This window comes from Homo sapiens, chromosome 15 (genome assembly GCF_000001405.40).
Source record: "Homo sapiens chromosome 15, GRCh38.p14 Primary Assembly".
NCBI classification, from domain to species: Eukaryota; Metazoa; Chordata; class Mammalia; order Primates; family Hominidae; genus Homo; species Homo sapiens.
The window spans coordinates 76,890,911-76,908,537 of NC_000015.10; the positions used below are offsets into that span (position 1 = coordinate 76,890,911).

Here is a 17,627-nt window from a genome sequence, read left to right on the forward strand (position 1 = left end):
AATCCTCAATAGAATACTGGCAAACTGAATCCAGCAGCACATCAAAAAGCTTATCTACTCACAATCAAGTCGGCTTCATCCCTGGGATGCAAGGCTGGTTCAACATATGCAAATCAATAAACGTAATCCATCAAATAAACAGAACCAATGACAAAAACCACATGATTATCTCAATAGATGCAGAAAAGGCCTTTGACAAAATTCAACATCTCTTCATGCTAAAAACTATCAATAAACTAGGTATTGATGGAACATATCTCAAAATAATAACAGCTATTTATGACAAACCCATAGCCAAGATCATACCGAATGGGCAAAAACTGGAAGCACTCCCTTTGAAAACTGGCACAAGACAAGGATGCCCTCTCTCACCACTCCTATTCAACACAGTGTTGGAAATTCTGGCCAGAGCAATTAGGCAAGAGAAAGAAATAAAGGGTATTCAATTAGGAAGAGAGGAAGTCAAATTGTCCCTGCTGGCAGATAACATGATTATATATTTAGAAAACCCCATCATCCAAGCCCAAAATCTCCTCAAGCTGATAAGCAACTTCAGTAACGTCTCAGGATATAAAATCAATATGCAAAAATTGCACAAGCAATACACCAATAACAGACAGAGAGCCCAATCATGAGTGAACTCCCATTAACAATTGCTACAAACAGAATAAAATATCTAGGAATCCAACTTACAAGGGATTTTGAAGAACCTCTTCAAGGAGAACTACAAACCACTACGCAACAAAATAAAAGAGGACACAAACAAATGGAAGAATATTCCATGCTCATGGATAGGAAGAATCAATTTCATGAAAATGGCCATACTGTCCAAGGTAATTTATAGACTCAATGCCATCCCCATCAAGCTACCAATGACTTTCTTCACAGAATTGGAAATTCTTCACAGAATTTTTTCCAATTTGGTTCATATGGAACCAAAAAAGAGCCTGAATTGCCAAGACAATCCTAAGCAAAAATAACGAAGCTGGAGACTTCATACTACCTGACTTCAAACTATACTACAAGGCTACAGTAACCAAAACAGCACGGTACTGGTACCAAAACAGATACATAGACCAATGGAACAGAACAGAGGCCTCAGAAATAACACCACACATCTACAACCATCTGATCTTTGACAAACCTGACAAAAACAAGAAATGGGGAAAGGATTCCCTATTTAATAGTGCAGGGAAAACTGGCTAGCCACATGCAGAAAGCTGAAAGTGGACCCCTTCCTTACACTTTATACAAAAATTAATTCAAGATGGATTAAAGCCTTAAATGTAAGACCTAAAACCATAAAAACTCTAGAAGAAAACCTAGGCAATACCTTCAGGACATAGGCATGGGCAAAGACTTCATGACTAAAACACCAAAAGCAATGGCAACAAAAGCCAAAACAGACAAATGGGATCTAATTAAACTAAAGAGCTCCTGCATGGCAAAAGAAACTACCATCAGAGTGAACAGGCAACCTACAGAATGGGAGAAAATTTTTGCAATCTACCCATCTGACTAAGGGCTAATATCCAGAATCTACAAAGAACTTAAACAAATTTACAAGAAAAAAAACAACCCCAGCAAAAAGTGGGCGAAGGATATGAACAGACACTTCTCTAAAGAAGACATTTATACAGCCAACAGACACATGAAGAAATGCTCACCATCACTGGCCATCAGAGAAACGCAAATCAAAACCACGATGAGATACCATCTCACACCAGTTAGAATGGCCATCATTAAAAATTCAGGAAACAACAGATGCTGGAGAGGATGTGGAGAAATAGGAATGCTTTTACACTGTTGGTGGGAGTGTCAATTAGTTCAACCATTGTGGAAAACAGTGTGGCGATTCCTCAAGGATCTAGAACTAGAAATACCATTTGACCCAGCAATCCCATTACAGGGTATATACCCAAAGGATTATAAATCATGCTACTATAAAGACACATGCACACGTATGTTTACTGCAGCACTGTTCACAATAGCAAAGACTTGGAACCAACCCAAATGTCCATCAACGATAGACTGGATTAAGAAAATGTGGCACATATACACCATGGAATACCATGCAGCCATAAAAAAGGATGAGTTCATGTCCTTTGCAGGTACATGGATAAAGCTGGAAACCATTATTCTCAGCAAACTATCACAAGGACAGAAAACCAAACATCGCATGTTCTCACTCATCCTTGGGATGGTAATTGAACAATGAGAACACTTGGACACAGGGCAGGGAACATCACACACCGGAGCCTGTCACTGGGTGGGGGGCTGAGGGAGGGATAGCATTAGGAGAAATACCTAACGTAAATGACAAGTTGATGGGTGCAGCAAACCAACATGGCACATGTATACCTGTGTAACAAATCTGCACTTTGTGCACATGTACCCTAGAACTTAAAGTATAATAATAAAAAAAAGTCATTACATAATGATAAAGGGGTAATTCATCAAAAGGATATAACCGTTGTAGATATGTACGCACCCAACATTGGAGCACCAAAATTTTAACACCACTGAAAGGAAAAAGAGACAGCAATACATTAATAGCAGGGGACTTCAATACCCCACTTTCAACAAGGGATAGATCATCCAGACAAAAAAAAAAATCAACAAGGAAACAGTGAACTTGAACAGTTCTATAGGCCAAATGGACCTAACAGACATATGCAGAACATTCCATCCAACAGCAGCAGAATATACAACATTTTCAAGCACACACAATATTCTCTAGGATAGATCATATGTTAGGCCACAAAATAAGTCTTAACAAATCCAAGAAGATTTAAATGATATCAAGTATCTTTTCTGACCACAATGGTATAAAGCTAGAAATAACAGGAAGAAAACTGGAAAATTCACAAATATGTGGAAATTAAACAACACACAACTAAACAATCAATGGGTCATAGAAAAAAATCAAAAGGGAAATCAAAAAGTATCCTGAAACAAGTGAAAATGGTAACACAACATAGCAAAACTTATGGAATACAATAAAAGCAGTTCTAAGAGGCAAGTTTATAGTGACAAAAGCCTACATAAAGACAGACAGGGCCAGGCGCAGTGGCTCACACCTGTAATCCCAGCCCTTTGGGAGGCCGAGGCGGGCGGATCACCTGCGGTCAGGAGTTCAAGACCAGCCTGGCCAACATGGTGAAACCCCATCTCTACTAAAAATACAAAAAATTAGCTGGGTGCAGTGGCGCATGCCTGCAGTCCCAGCTACTTGGGAGGCTGAGGCAGGAGAATCGCTTGACCCTGGGAGGTGGAGGTTGCAGTGAGCTGAGATGGTGCCACTGCACACCAGCATGGGCAACAGAGTGAAATTTCAACTCAAAAAAAAAAAGACACAGACAGATCTCAGCCTCACATGATGTGAACACCTGTAATCTCAGCTAGTCAGGAGACTTAGGTGGGAGGATTGCTTGAGCCCAAGAGTTCGAGGCTGTAGTGTGCTCTGATCATGCCTGAGACTAGTCTCTACGTTCCAGCCTGGGCAACATAGCAAGATCCCATCTATGAAAAGAAAAAAAGAGAAAGGCAAAACAACTCAGATAAACAACCTAAGTTTACACCTCAAAGAACTAAAAAAAGAACAAACTAAATCTAAAGTCAGCATAAGGAAGGAAATAATAACAGAGCAAAAATCAATGAAATAGAGAATAGAAAAACAGAAAAGATCAATGAAACTAAGAGTTGGTTTTTGAAAAAGATAAATGAAACTGAAAAACCTTTAGCTAGACTAAGAAAAAGAAGACTCAAACAAAATTACAAATGTAAGAGGAAACATTACAACTGATATTATAGAAATAAAGGGATCACAAAAGACTACTTTGAACAATTACATGCCAACAAATTGAATAACTTACAGAAAATAAGTAAACTCCTAGAAATATACAACCTACCAAGACTGAATCATGAAGAAATAAAAAATCTGACCAGATCAATAACAAGTAAGAAGACTGATTTTTTAATAAAAAACTCACAAAAGAGAAGAACCTAGGACCTCATGGCTTCACTGGCGAATTCTACCAAACATTTAACGAAGAATTAATACCAATCCTTCTCAAACTCTTCCCAAAAACTGAAGAAAATATTTCCAAACTCATTTCACAAGGCCAACATTACCCTAATACTAAAGCCAGACATAAACACTAGAAGAAAAGAAAATTACAGGCCCATATCCCTGATGAATATAGATTCAAAAATCCTCCATAAAATACCGGCAAACCAAATCCAACAGCTTATTGAAAGCATCATACACTATGATCAGGTAGGAATTATTTGTGGGTTGCAAGAATGGTTCAACATATGCAAATTAACACATGAGATACACCACATTAACAGAACAAAGAATGAAAATCATATGATCATCTCAATAAATGCAGAAAAAGCATCTGACAAAATTCAACACCCTTTCAAGATAAAAACTTTCAACAAATTAGGTACATAAGTAATGTCGTAATACAGATCATAGATGACAAGCCCACAGCTAACATTATACACAACAGTGAAAATTTAAAAGCTTTTCCTCTAAGATCAACAAGACAAGAATGCCATCTCATCCAGTTCTTTTTTTTTTCTTGACTAAGAAAAAAAATAATAAAAGTCAAGAAAAAAAATAAAAGTACTCAAGTTAGGAAAAAAAGAAGTGAAATTGTCTGTTTGCAGATTACATGATCTTATATACAGAAAATCCTAAAAGCTCCACCAAAAACTATTAGAACTAATAAATTCAATAAAGTTGTAGTATACAAAATCAAAATACAAAATAGAAAAATCAGTAGCTTTTCTATACACTAACAATGAACCATCCAAAAAAGAAATCAAGAAAACAATCCCGGCCAGGTGCAGGAGCTCACGCCTATAATCTCAGCACTTTGGGAGTCCAAGATGGGCAGATCATGACGTCAGGAGATCGAGACCATCCTGGCTGACACAGTGAAACCCCATCTCTACTAAAAATACAAAAAATTTGCCGGGCATGGTGGCAGGCGACTGTAGTCCCAGCTACTTGGGAAGCTGAGGCAGGAGAATGGTGTGAACCCGGGAGGCAGAGCTTGCAGTGAGCTGAGATTGCACCACTGCACTCCAGCCTGGGCAACAGAGCAAGACTCTGTCTCAAAAAAAAAAAAAAAATCCCATTTACAATAGCATAAAAGACAATAAAAGGCTGGCCACAGTGGCTCACACCTGTAATCCCAGCACTTTGGGAGGCCAAGGCAGGCCGATCACTTCAGCCCAGGAGTTCGAGACCAGCCTGGGCAACATGGCAAAACCCTGTCTCTACCAAAAATATGAAAATTGGCCAGGCATGGTGGTGTGTACCTGTAGTCCCAGATACTCAGGAGGCTGAGGTGGGAGGATCACCGGAGCCTGGGGAGGTCAACGCTGCAGTGAGTTGTGATCACACCACTGCACTCCAGACTGGGTGACAGAATGACATCCTGTCTTAAAAACAACAACAAAAATAATAGTAATAAAATACTTAGGAATATAAATCTAACCAAGAAAGACCTATACACTGAAAACCATAAAACTGATGACAAACTGAAAATAACACAAATAAAGAGAAAGACATCCCATGTTCATGAACTGGAAAAAATTAACATTGTTAAAATACCCATACTACCCAAAGCAATCTACAAATTCAACATAATCCCTATCAAAATCTCCATGATGTTTCTCACAGAAAGAGAAAAAACAATCCTAGACCTGGCACAGTGGTTCATGCCTGTAACCCTATAATCCTAGCACTTTGGGAGGCCAAGGCAGGCAGACCGCCTTGAGTCTCAAACAAGAGTTTGAGACCAGCCTGGGCAATGTGGAGAATATGCCAAAATACAAAATAATACCAGCAATCCAACAAAAATACAAAAAATAGCCAGGCGTGGTGGCACGCACCTGTAGTCCCAGCTCCTTGGGAGGCTAAGGAGGGAGGCTCACTTGAGCCCAGGAGATAGAGGCTACAGTAAGCTATGATCATTCTACTGCACTCCAGCCTGGGTGACAGAGTGAGACCTCATCTCTAAAAATATTAATTTTTTTTTTTAAAAAGAGTAAGTTCTGAAGTCAGACACAAATCCATATCCCAAGTCTGCCAATTACAAACTACACTCGCCTTTAGATAAATTCTTTAACATTTTTGAATCTCAGGGTACACAGCTATAAAACAAGAGTAAAAATATCTACTTTGTAGGGTTGTTTTCAAAATCAAAGAAAGTAAATGTGAAAAAATGTTTGATGGCAAACAACCAGCACTCAATACTTGGTAGCTGTGCACCACAGGATAATGGGGAATTTTTTTGTTATTTTCAGATTTTCTGATACATGATTGCACTGCACTGCAATTACAACTTCAAAAACCTGTAATGATTTAAAGTATTTCCAAATTACAGATTACACTAGGCTCTGACTTAAAATTTTTCAGTCCAGAGTTCATAAATTCTTAATTACAGGCCTTTTCCTCCAAAGAGGAAAAAAAAAAAGAAATGTTACTTCAACATTGACCAGGCACAGTGGCTCACACCTGTAATCCTAGCACTTTGGGAGGCTGAGGCGGAGAGATTGCCTGAGCTCAGGGGTTCAAGACCAGCCTGGACAACATGGCAAAACCCCATCGCTACCAAAAATACAAAAACTTAGCTGGGTGTGGTGGTATGCACCTGAAGTCCCAGGTACTCAGAAGACTGAGGCATGAGAATTGCTTGAACCCGGGAGGCAGAGGTTGCAGTGAGCCGAGATCACGCCACTGCACTCCAGCCTGGGTGACAGAGACTCTATCTCGAAAAAAAAGAAAAAGACTGAATTATTATTTCTTAAGTCCCACCAGATACTGATTAACTTGAAATCCTTACATCACTGCATCTTGTGCACTCCTGTTCAATTAGGCACCTGACAGATTATTGTTTCTGCATCTGAACTGAAAGTCAGTGGTACTTAAGATGCATGACCTTTTTTTTTAGGTAAATTCCAGATATTTCCAGGTGCACTTAGGTAAACAGGTACTACAATGTAATAATAAACGTAAGTAGGAGATGTATATTTCACAGATTACCACAAAGGATTTCTGGGGAGCAATTCACTTGATTATATGAATAAAAAGCCAACAGAGAGCAACCAAGAGGAAGAATAAGAACCCACGTCAGGTTAAATAGCACCACTATGTCAGGTTAAAGGGGTTATGTTCTCATTTCTCCAAAAAATGTATACGAATGGCTAACAAGCCTATGAAAACATGTTGAAATCACTAGTCATTAGGGAAATACATATCAAAGCCACAATGAGACATAACTTCGTACCCACCAAGATGTCTACCGTCAAAAAGACAAAACAACTGTTGGAGAAGATGTGGAGAAACTGGAATCCTGACACACTGCAGTGGAAATGTAAACCGGTACAGCTGGTTTGGTAACAATCTGGCAGTTCCTCAAAAAGTAAAAGATAAGTCACTATATAACCCAGCAATTCTATTCCTAGGTTTATACTCAAGAGAAATGAAAACACAAGTCCACACAAAAACTTCTAGAGGAATATTCACAGCAGCAATAGCCAAAAAGTAGAAACAGTGCAAGATGTTCATGAACTGATAAATGAATAAATAAAATGTGGTATATCCATATGATGGAATATTATTCATCCATAAAAAGGAATGAAGGGCTGATATGTGCTACAAAATGGATGAATCTTGAAAACATTACGTTAAATGGAAGAAGCCAGACACAAAAGGCTTCGTACTGTATAATTCCATTTATGTGAAATGTCCTGAATAGGCAAATCCATAAAGACAGAAAGTAGATGAGAGGGTGGCTGTAGCTGGAGATAAGATGGGGAAGTAGGGAGGGAGGCCAGAATGGAAAACGGCTGCTAATGCTTATGGGGTTTCATATTGGGATACTGAAAATGTTCTAAACTTGATTGTGGTAATGGATCCACAACTCTGTGAATACATTAAAATCATTGAAGTGTACATTTTAAATGGGTGGATTTTATGGTATGTGAAGTATAGCTCAATAAAGCTTCAAATTAAAAAAGAAAGCAAGCTATGTCCTAATCCAAAATGTCCAAAATTGCAATCATTCAGTTACTACCTTCATGATATTTGCCATAACTAAGTACCACCTATAAAATAATTTACGTAATTTTCTTTCAATAAAATGACATTTACTCAAATAAAAATCTGTAACACTATCTTAAACATAAAATCAGTCAATATACAAGAAATATGGATATGCTCTCCCTCTCCCTCTCGCTCTCCGTCTCCCTCTTTCTATGGTCTCCCTCTCTTGCAGAGCCTGGACTGTACTGCCATGATCTCAGCTAGCTGCAACCTCCCTGCCTCAGGCTCCGGTGATTCTCCTGCCTCGGCCTGCCGAGTGCCTGGGGTTCCAGGCACGCGCCGCCACTCCTGACTGGTTTTTGTATTTTTGGTGGAGATGGGTTTCGCCATGTTGACCGTGCTGGTCTCCAGCTCCTGGCCTCGGATGAACTGCCCGCCTCGGCCTCCCGAGGTGCTGGGATTGCAGACGGAGTCTCGCTCACTCAATGCTCAATGTTGCCCAGGCTGGAGTGCAGTGGCCTGATCTCGGCTCACTACAACCTCCACCTCCCAGCCACCTGCCTTGGCCTCCCAAAGTGCTAAGATTACAGCCTCTGCCCGCCCGCCACCCCGTCTAGGAAGTGAGCAGTGTCTCTGCCTGGCAGCCCATCGTCTGGGATGTGAGGAGCCCCTCTGCCTGGCCGCCCCGTCTGGAAAGTGAGGAGCACCTCTGCCCGGCCGCCACCCCGTCTAGGAAGTGAGGAGCGTCTCTGCCTGGCTGCCCATCGTCTGGGATGTGAGGAGCACCTCTGCCCGGCCGCCCCGTCTGGGAAGTGAGGAGCACCTCTGCCCGGCCGCCCCGTCTGGGAAGTGTACCCAACAGCTCCGAAGAGACAGCGACTATCGAGAACGGGCCATGATGACGATGGCGGTTTTGTCGAAAAGAAAAGGGGGAAATGTGGGGAAAAGAAAGATCAGATTGTTACTGTGTCTGTGTAGAAAGAAGTAGACATAGGAGACTCCATTTTGTTCTATACTAAGAAAAATTCTTCTGCCTTGGGATGCTGTTAATCTATAACCTTACCCCCAACCCCCTGCTCTCTGAAACATGTGCTGTGTCAACTCAGGGTTAAATGGATTAAGGGCGGCGCAAGATGTGCTTTGTTAAACAGATGCTTGAAGGCAGCATGCTCGTTAAGAGTCATCACCACTCCCTAATCTCAAGTACCCAGGGACACAAACAGGGCCGAAGGCCGCAGGGACCTCTGCCTAGGAAAACCAGAGACCTTTGTTCTCGTGTTTATCTGCTGACCTTCTCTCCACTATTATCCTATGACCCTGCCACATCCCCCTCTCTGAGAAACACCCAAGAATGATCAATAAATACTAAAAAAAAAAAAAAAAAAGACAAAAATAAATAAATACATACATACATACAAAAAAAAATATGGATATGGCAAAATATTGACAGTGGTACTCAAATGAAATTTGAGAAACTCAGGGCTGCAAAAAAACAGTGGCCAAGCAGAAAGTGGAGCACCCAAAAAAACAAAGAATAAAGGTGGTAAACAGGGAATGAACACTAGGTCTGGTTGAGCACAAAGTGTCTGAACAAGTTCCTGCCTTGTTCAGAACTGAAGTCTCACTTGTCTTATTCTGCCCTGCAATCCCGGAATATCTGTGGAGATGCCTAAGAATCCTAGAGATGGAAATGTAAAGATGGGCTCAAGTGCCAGAAAAGGCATATCTTTTCTTTATCCAAGTTTGGGTACACAGGTTGTAAAAGAGCAAGGAGTAAATGGCAGACCCAAAGCAGTGAGAAGCCTGCTGGTAGCACTACTCCAAAATATAGGGGCCCATCTAACTGAAGCCAGAATAGTACATCTATGAATTATCCACATATTGGTCAATAAATTGTAGAAAAATTGAGGTTTGCAATCACAGTTCCTCTCCAGGGTTCACAAAGTCTGTCACCCATGTTTTTGCCTTTTCCAACATTTAAGAAAATCTGAGTATTTGCCTTTCTGAGTCTGATACTTTAATGTTGTCACAGGCATACTCAAAAACTACTGTTCACATTTTTGCTAATTGAAAAATATGTGTATTATGGTAAAAATGAGTAGTTTGTAGCCAGGTGTGGTGGCACCCGCCTGTAGTCCCAGCTACTCAGGAGGCTGAGGCAGGAGAATCGCTGGAACCCAGGAGGCAGAGGTTGCAGTAAGCTGAGATCGCACCACTGCACTCCAGCCTGGGGGACAGAGCAAGACGCCGTCTCAAAAGAAAAAAAGAGTAATTTGAAGAGCAATATAGACATTTTATAATTCTAAATTGTTTAATAAGATTTTCAATTCTGATTACTTCTATATATACTGCCATGAATATGTCAACCAAGTTATTTATTTTATCTCATGAATGTGGCATGCTCAATTGAAAATACTGAAACTCTCTCTCTTTTCCAATACTGTATTAAAAGCAGGCCTAATGCATACTAAAATCTTGACAAATTAAATATGATGTCTGAAACCTGCTTCAAAACAATTTAGTGAGGAGGTAACTTTTATGAAATAATATTGCTCATGTATAATATATAGCTAATTTTTGAAATAGATTGATACATAGCAGTTCATCATACTATTCTCTTTTGCGTATGTTTCAAAACATAAAATGAACGTATTACTTTAAGAAGTTATCATTTTAGCAAAACTTTATGAAATCTTTAGTGTTTCATGTCATAGAAGAAAAAGTCTTTCCATAAATAATTTCTAATAATTTTTTTTTTTTTTGAGACGGAGTCTCGCTCTGTTGTTCAGGCTGCAGTGCAGTGGCACGATCTCAGCTCACTGCAACCTCCACCTCCCGGATTCAAGCGATTCTCCTGCCTCAGCCTCCTGAGTAGCTGGGACTACAAGCATGAGCCACCACCTCCAGCTAATTTTTTGTATTTTTAGTAGACACAGGGTTTCACCGTGTTAGCCAGGATGGTCTCGATCTCCTGACCTTGTGATCTGCCCACCTCAGCCTCCCAAAGTGCTAGGATTACAGGCATGAGCCACCGTACCCAGCCTCTAATAATTTTTAAGACTAGCTCCATCATTGGACTCCAGATCTTTTCACTCTTTATATTTCACAAGACCCATAGCCAATCAGTGAAAGCCAAACATGTTTGTGAAAAAGGTTAGCTACAAATGCACCATGGAATACTATGCAGCCATAAAAAAGAACAAAATCATGCCCTCTGCAGCAACACGGATAGAGCTGGAGACCAATGTCCTAAGTGACTTAACATGAGAAAAGAAAACCAAATACTGTGTGTTCTCTCTTATAAGTGGGAATTAAACACAGAATATGTGATTGTAAAAGTCACAAACAACAGGCACTAGGGATCACTAGGCCAAGGGGAGCATGGGCTGAAAGACCACCTGTTGTGTACTATGCTTATGGCCTGTGTGATGGGATAATTGGGACCCCAAGCATCGGCATCAATTTACCCATGTAACAAATCTACACATGTACCCTCTACTATATAAGTTGAATTTTTTTTTAAAAAAAGGTTACCATCCAGCAGAAACTGCAAACAGAATTTTATTAATGATTTAATTTTTGCTATGCCAGCCATTTACAGTTTTCTCTTCTACAATTTCAGAAATGCCAATTCCACAATGGATATCAGATTGTACCCTTACAGAGAATTCTATTAAACTTCCCCCTAAATAATACCCCCACTTTCTAAGTGTTTAAATAACATTCACATGTGATTCCCAAAGAAGTTGTTTATCCTTTAAAACTAGTCTGGGCTGTGGTCAGGTATGAAAGTGAAAGAGGCCAGGTGCAGTGGCGCACGCCTGTAATCCCAGCACTTTGGGAGGCCGAGGTGGGTGGATCATCTGAGGTCAGGAGTTTGAGACCAGCATGGCCAACATGGTGAAACCCGGTCTCTACTAAAAATACAAAAAAAAATTAGCCAGGCATGGTGGTGAGTGCCTGTAGTTCCAGCTACTCAGGAAGCTGAGGCAGGAAAATCGCTTGAACTTGGGAGGTGGAGTTTGCAGTGAGCCAAGATTGCGCCACTGCACTCCAGCCTGGGTGACAGAGTGAGACTCGGTTTCAAAAAAAAAAAAAAGAAAGTGAAAGAAATGACAGAATCTCAAGTCCCTTCATCTTACTTATCTTTAAAACATTCCTGCAGCTAAATGAAGACATTAATGACCTTAATATCAATCTTTTAGGAGTTCTTAAAATACCTATGAAGCACCAATGGCAAACATTTTTAAAGTCTGTTTAGAATACTATATCCTTTGGACCAGTCACCAAAATTTATTTATAAACACATTTGTACAGTACTGCTGATTACACTTCCATGGTTATTTGACCTGAACAACCAAGTGATTAACCATAATGCTATGGTCTGCATGTTTGTGTTCTTCAAAATTCTTGTGGAAATCCTAGTTTCCAAGGTCATATCAGGAGGTGGGGCCTTTGGGAGATGACTGTATTATGAAAGCAGAACCTTAATGAATGGGATAAATTCCCTTATAAGAGGCCAGAGAGAGACCCCTTCACCCTTGCACCATGTAAGGAGACAGCTAGAGGGTGCCATCTATTAACCAGAAAGCAGGCTATCACCAAACACTGAATCATCAGACATCTTGATCTAGGACTTCCCAGCCTCCAAAACTGCAAGAAATGAATTTCTGTTGTTTATAAGCCACTCAGTCTGAGGTATTTTGCTATACCAGACCCAAATGGACCAAAGACACATAGAGTATATTTTTAATGCAGCTCAAGGGAGTGTGGAGAAAGAAGGAAAAGAGCATTTGTTGAGGGCTTACCATGGGCTAGGAACAGTTCTCAATACTTTACAGACACCTAATTTATTACTATCAACAAAATTATGAGGTGGATATTATTCCTACTTTACAGATAAGAAAGGCTCAGAAAAATTAATTTGCCAAAAACAAGGGTTGGGGCTGAGATTCAAACTCAAAACAGTCTGCCTTCAAAGCCATCAGATTACTTCTCCCACAGACAACCTTCCAAATCACATTAAAACTTGACTCTTTGATTGATTAAAAATATTAATTCTTTAGTGGATATCATTCTTCAAGTGGCATAAATCATCTGCAACCAACAAACTTTGAGGAAAAGTCATAGTTAACAGAAATAACAGAAGGGAAAGAGCACCAGTATAGGCCAGAGTGGGACAGTGGTCAGACTACCAACCTTAGGTCAGAAAACTTAACCCCAGATTTACCACTCACCAGCTGGTGATCTAAGGCAAGTAATAACCTTTTGAGCCCCCGTTTCTCCATTCATAAAATAAGTATTACTCCTAGCCCATCCATCCTTCTACCAGATTATTTATGAAGATGAAAAGTTAATGATGAAATTAATCCATAAACTAAGACAAACTATAATTCATATAAGGAATTAGTATCTGTTCGGTAAAATGACTATTAATGAATAGCTATTTTCATGGAAAATAACTTGTCACAACTAGAATAAGAGATGCAGTCCACCAGCAACAGGAAGCTGCTCACAAACAGGCGGCCTCATCTCAGCTGGGGCCCCCTTAACAGCAGCAGGTGTTGCTTACAGGACCAGTTTTGTGCCTGCTTTCTAACAATCCCGTTCCTCCCTGGTGCCGTTCCCACGAACGCGCCTGGAAAACGGTGTAGAGGAAAGGCGCCAAGGAAGTGCTGTTTTGGAAAAGAGCAGCAACAGAGGCAGGAGGCTGGGTCCCACTACTCCCAGGTGCGAGAGGCTCTTCGCCCCTCCAGGCCTCAGCGCACGCATCTGGAAGACGGAGAGGCCATTCCTGCCCCGTTTCCTGGGCAGAGCTAAGATCAGAGTACAGGGAAAGCATGGTAAACCCCGCTGGGAATGACAGATGACGAAGACGATCACCTGTCAAACGAAGGGAGGCTCCTCCAGGGGCCCCTCGCATTTAGACATTCCAGAAGCCTCGTCACCCGCGGCCGGGGCTGCCCCCAAGTGAGGTGACGCGGCAGCCCCCCACTCACCCCTCAGACCGCGTAGTGTGCGGGGTCTCACGTCCCTCACACCCCAGATGAGCCCGCAGGGCAGGGCCCGGACGCGGCTCACCCCAGCCCCCGTCCCGAGGCCTCCGAGGCCGACCTCCGAGCCCTCCCCAGGCGACCGCGGCTCCCCTCCCCCAGCAACGATCCCTGCCCCGCTCAACTCGCACTCCCAGGTGAGGGGAGGGGGTGAAAGGGCGTACCCCGCCGCCATTTTGTCCCCTGGTCCCCGCAAGGCATTCAGACGGCCCGCGCCCCAACCCGGACCCGCCCGGGTCTGCGCTACGCACGCCCCTCGCGGACACTCACCCCCGACCGCCCTGCTTAGTTCGGGGCGGCTCAAAGCGTCCCGCCGGGAAAGGGGCGTGACGGGGCGGGGCAGGGAGGCCTCGGAGAGGCGGGGTGGCTTCCCGGCGCACCACGTGATCTCAGCCGCTGCCGCGCCGCTCCCGGCTGCAAGATCTGTGTTGTCCGCGCGCAGGCGCACGCCCGTTCGCGCCGTTGGGGCGCCCAGGCGGGAGGTGTGAGGGTTGATTTGGTTCGATGTCCCGGCGCGGCGTTTCCGAAGCTGTTTCTTTTCCTAGGTTAAGCTTACACCGCCGCTTTTGGCCACACAGGTCTTTCTCGTACTCAATCTCTTCCCTCCTCCTGCCTTATCACCACAGTCAATCCACAGATTAAGGACTTAGAGACGCGCCTCACAGAAATCTGTGCTGGCGAAAGCACTTGACAGGAGCACGCTGGGCTGCGCTGAACACAACTAGGCCTCCGAGAAGCTTTATCAGGGCCCTTCTGTGTGCCAGGCTTGGAAGGTCGAAGTACAGAGACCTAACAAATACGTTTCATCTACTTCAAAGACAAACATATGATGAATTAAATACTTTAACGTTTAAATCAGTCTGAACAAAATAGAAAAAAGATTCAATGCAGACTGTAATTATCAAACGAATATTCACCGTCCCTTTTCATCCAGCTGGGAAACAGCTCTTTACCCTTCCCTCTCCCTCCCCACCCGCAGTAGGCGGGAAGTCCTGGACTCACAAGCGTTGTGGGGGCAGGAACCATATGGCTATGTTCTGGCTCCCCTTCTCTCTTGCCTTCTTAGAAAACTCGCTTTTTCATTTATTCAGCAAATGTTTATTGACCACATACTATATATCAGATGGTATTCTAGATGCTTGGAGTTAATACGTGAGCAAAATAAACAGAAATCTCTAAAAAACCTCCGGCTTCTTGGAGCAGGGTGAAACCAGGCAAGTGTTACATCAAGTTTAGCCAAAAGCTGTGTCCTTACATATTTTAAGTTCAGCCTGAAGGTTTCTCCGTAAATAGTAAACTATAACCTAAATGGAGGTGTAAATACACTGCAACCTACTCTTGCGCCAATCACCAAGTTTTGGCCAAAGACGGCCAACTGTTCAAACCGTGTTCAAATAAGGTAAACGTCTAGCTATAACCATTCTGGCTGTTTCCCTACCTCACTTTTCTTTCTCTGTCTATAAACCTTTTTCCACCATGTGGCTCTGCGGGAGTCTGTATGAACCTACTCTGGCTCAGGAGGCTGCCTGATTCGGGAATAATTCTTTGCTCAAACTCTGTTTAATTTGGCTAATATTTTGCTTTTAACACAAGAAATAGTAAACACAATAAATAAGTAAATTATATAACATGATAAGCACTACAGTTAACAAAATGAGTAGGATAAGGGGGATAGAGTAGGGAGCATACTACAATTCTATAAAAGGCGGTCAGGGCCTCATTTCTTAATTATCCCCACTTCCTTTCATACTCATAAGCATGTAAACAACCTGAAGTCTCTCCCATCTTGAAATCTCCCGCCGAACCTACCAGACTCCACTTCAACCTCTGCTTTCTTTCCTATAATACATTTCTCCAATTATCTAAACAAGAGTGCCTCCAATTCCTCAACCACTACTCAAGTCTGGACTTACTGCACTCTGGTTTCTGCCCCACCACCCCACTGAAACCATTCTTTCCAACATCACTAGGGGCCAGCCGCCGTGGCTCGCGCCTGTAATCCCAGCACTTTGGGAGGCTGAGGCAGGTGGATCACCTGAGGTCAGGAGTTCAAGACCACCCTGGCCAAAATGGCGAAACCCTGTCTTTACCAAAAATACAAAAAAAAAAAAAAAAAAAATAGCCGGGTGCGGTGGCGCACACCTATAGTCCCAGCTACTCGGGAGGCTGAGGCACGAGAATCCCTTGAACCTGGATAGCAGAGGTTTGCAGTGAGCTGAGATCATGCCACTGCACTCCAGCCTGGGTGACAGTGCGAGACTCCATCTCAATTAAAAAAAAAAAAAAAAAAAAAGTTGGGCTGGGCTGGTGGCTCCCGCCTGTAATCCCAGCACTTTGGGAGGCCGAGGCAGGCAGATCACGAGGTCAGGAGATCGAGATCGAGACCATCCTGACCAACATGGTGAAACCCCATCTCTACTAAAAATAACAAAAATTAGCTGGGCGTGGTGGCATGTGCCTGTAATCCCAGCTACTCAGGAGTCTGAGGCAGGAGAATCGCTGAACCAGGGAGACGGAGGTTGCAGTGAGCACAGATCATGCCACTGCACTCAAGCCTGGCGACAGAGCGAGACTCTGTCTCAAAAAAAAAAAAAAAGTCACTAGGGATTTCCCTACTATATATCTTATGGACATTATCATCATTACCTAACTTAATTTCTCTTCATGACCCTCCTTCCTTCTGGAAATACTTTTCCTTGCCTTTCATTTTTACTCTCTTGGTAGCACTTCTCCATCTCTAACCACTCCCTCTCCATCTCTTTTAAAGTCTCTCTTATTTCTCCCAGCCTTTAAATATTGTTATCCCACAGGAATAGGTATAAGCCTTCACTCTTTTCCCACTGGACACACTCTCTACATGACCACTGCCTTTTACATAACTTTGGTTAGCATCTTTATGCTCTGGATTTCCGAATATATATCCCCAGCCCTGATTCCTACTCCTGGGATCCAGGCCACATTGTTAACTACCTACTGGTCATCTCCACTTGAATTAATAAAAATAAATATGACAAAAATAAAAATGATTCATCTTTCTTATATACATATAAAACAGCTTTATTGAGATGTAACCTACATACAAATCAGTGGTTTTTAGGATATTCACACAATTGTACAATCATCACTGCATTTTCTTTACCCCGGAAAGGAACCCAGTACTCACTTCTCCATTTTCCCTCAATTCTCTCAGCCATAGGCAACCACTAATCTACTTTCTCTATGCATAGATTTGCCTACTCCGGACACCTTGTATAAAGGGAGTCATGAGATGTGGTATTTTGTAACTGGCTTCTTTCACTTTGCATATATTCGAGGTATGTTTCTGGGCGCGGTGGCTCACGCCTGTAATCCCAGCACTTTGGGAGGCCAAGGCAGGCGGATCACAAGGTCAGCAGATCGAGACCATCCTAGCTAACAAGGTGAAACCCCGTCTAGACTAAAAAATAGAACAAATTAGCTGGGCGTGGTCGTGGGCGCCTGTAGTCCCAGCTACTGGGGAGGCTGAGGCA

At 42.4% G+C, this 17,627-nt stretch overlaps 1 protein-coding gene across 25 annotated transcripts in view, besides 5 other annotated features; it reads right to left on the reverse strand.

Moving 5' to 3' along the window:
• The window catches only part of SCAPER (S-phase cyclin A associated protein in the ER), a 557,437-nt gene extending 543,007 nt beyond the window's left edge, over positions 1 to 14,430 (reverse strand). For 15 of the 25 annotated variants that reach the window (XR_007064448.1, XM_047432625.1, XM_047432621.1 and 12 more), the window contains exons 1-2: positions 14,389 to 14,430; positions 13,704 to 13,881 (exon numbers count right to left, since the gene is read on the reverse strand). Coding sequence is in view for 15 of the 25 variants with exons in the window: in XM_047432625.1 (XP_047288581.1) it covers positions 13,704 to 13,837 (134 nt within the window). In the remaining 10 variants the exon portion in view is untranslated. Of the gene's footprint in view, positions 1 to 13,703; positions 13,882 to 14,282 lie in introns of all 25 variants that reach the window. The other 10 variants (NR_148227.2, XM_017022273.2, XM_011521653.4 and 7 more) reach the window with 2 other exon arrangements.
• Positions 14,006 to 14,085: a silencer, noted in NCBI's record as "silent region_6690". NCBI's record gives its function as "represses an Ori minimal core promoter by ATAC-STARR-seq in GM12878 lymphoblastoid cells {active_cell/tissue: GM12878}" and the evidence as "EXISTENCE:reporter gene assay evidence [ECO:0000049][PMID:35858748]".
• Positions 14,106 to 14,215: a silencer, noted in NCBI's record as "silent region_6691". NCBI's record gives its function as "represses an Ori minimal core promoter by ATAC-STARR-seq in GM12878 lymphoblastoid cells {active_cell/tissue: GM12878}" and the evidence as "EXISTENCE:reporter gene assay evidence [ECO:0000049][PMID:35858748]".
• Positions 14,226 to 14,535: a silencer, noted in NCBI's record as "silent region_6692". NCBI's record gives its function as "represses an Ori minimal core promoter by ATAC-STARR-seq in GM12878 lymphoblastoid cells {active_cell/tissue: GM12878}" and the evidence as "EXISTENCE:reporter gene assay evidence [ECO:0000049][PMID:35858748]".
• Positions 14,226 to 14,776: a biological region, named in NCBI's record as "H3K27ac hESC enhancer GRCh37_chr15:77197527-77198027".
• Positions 14,276 to 14,776: an enhancer, noted in NCBI's record as "H3K27ac hESC enhancer chr15:77197527-77198027 (GRCh37/hg19 assembly coordinates)". NCBI's record gives its function as "activates a minimal SCP1, AML or CMV promoter by ChIP-STARR-seq in naive H9 embryonic stem cells {active_cell/tissue: H9 hESC(naive)}" and the evidence as "EXISTENCE:reporter gene assay evidence [ECO:0000049][PMID:30033119]".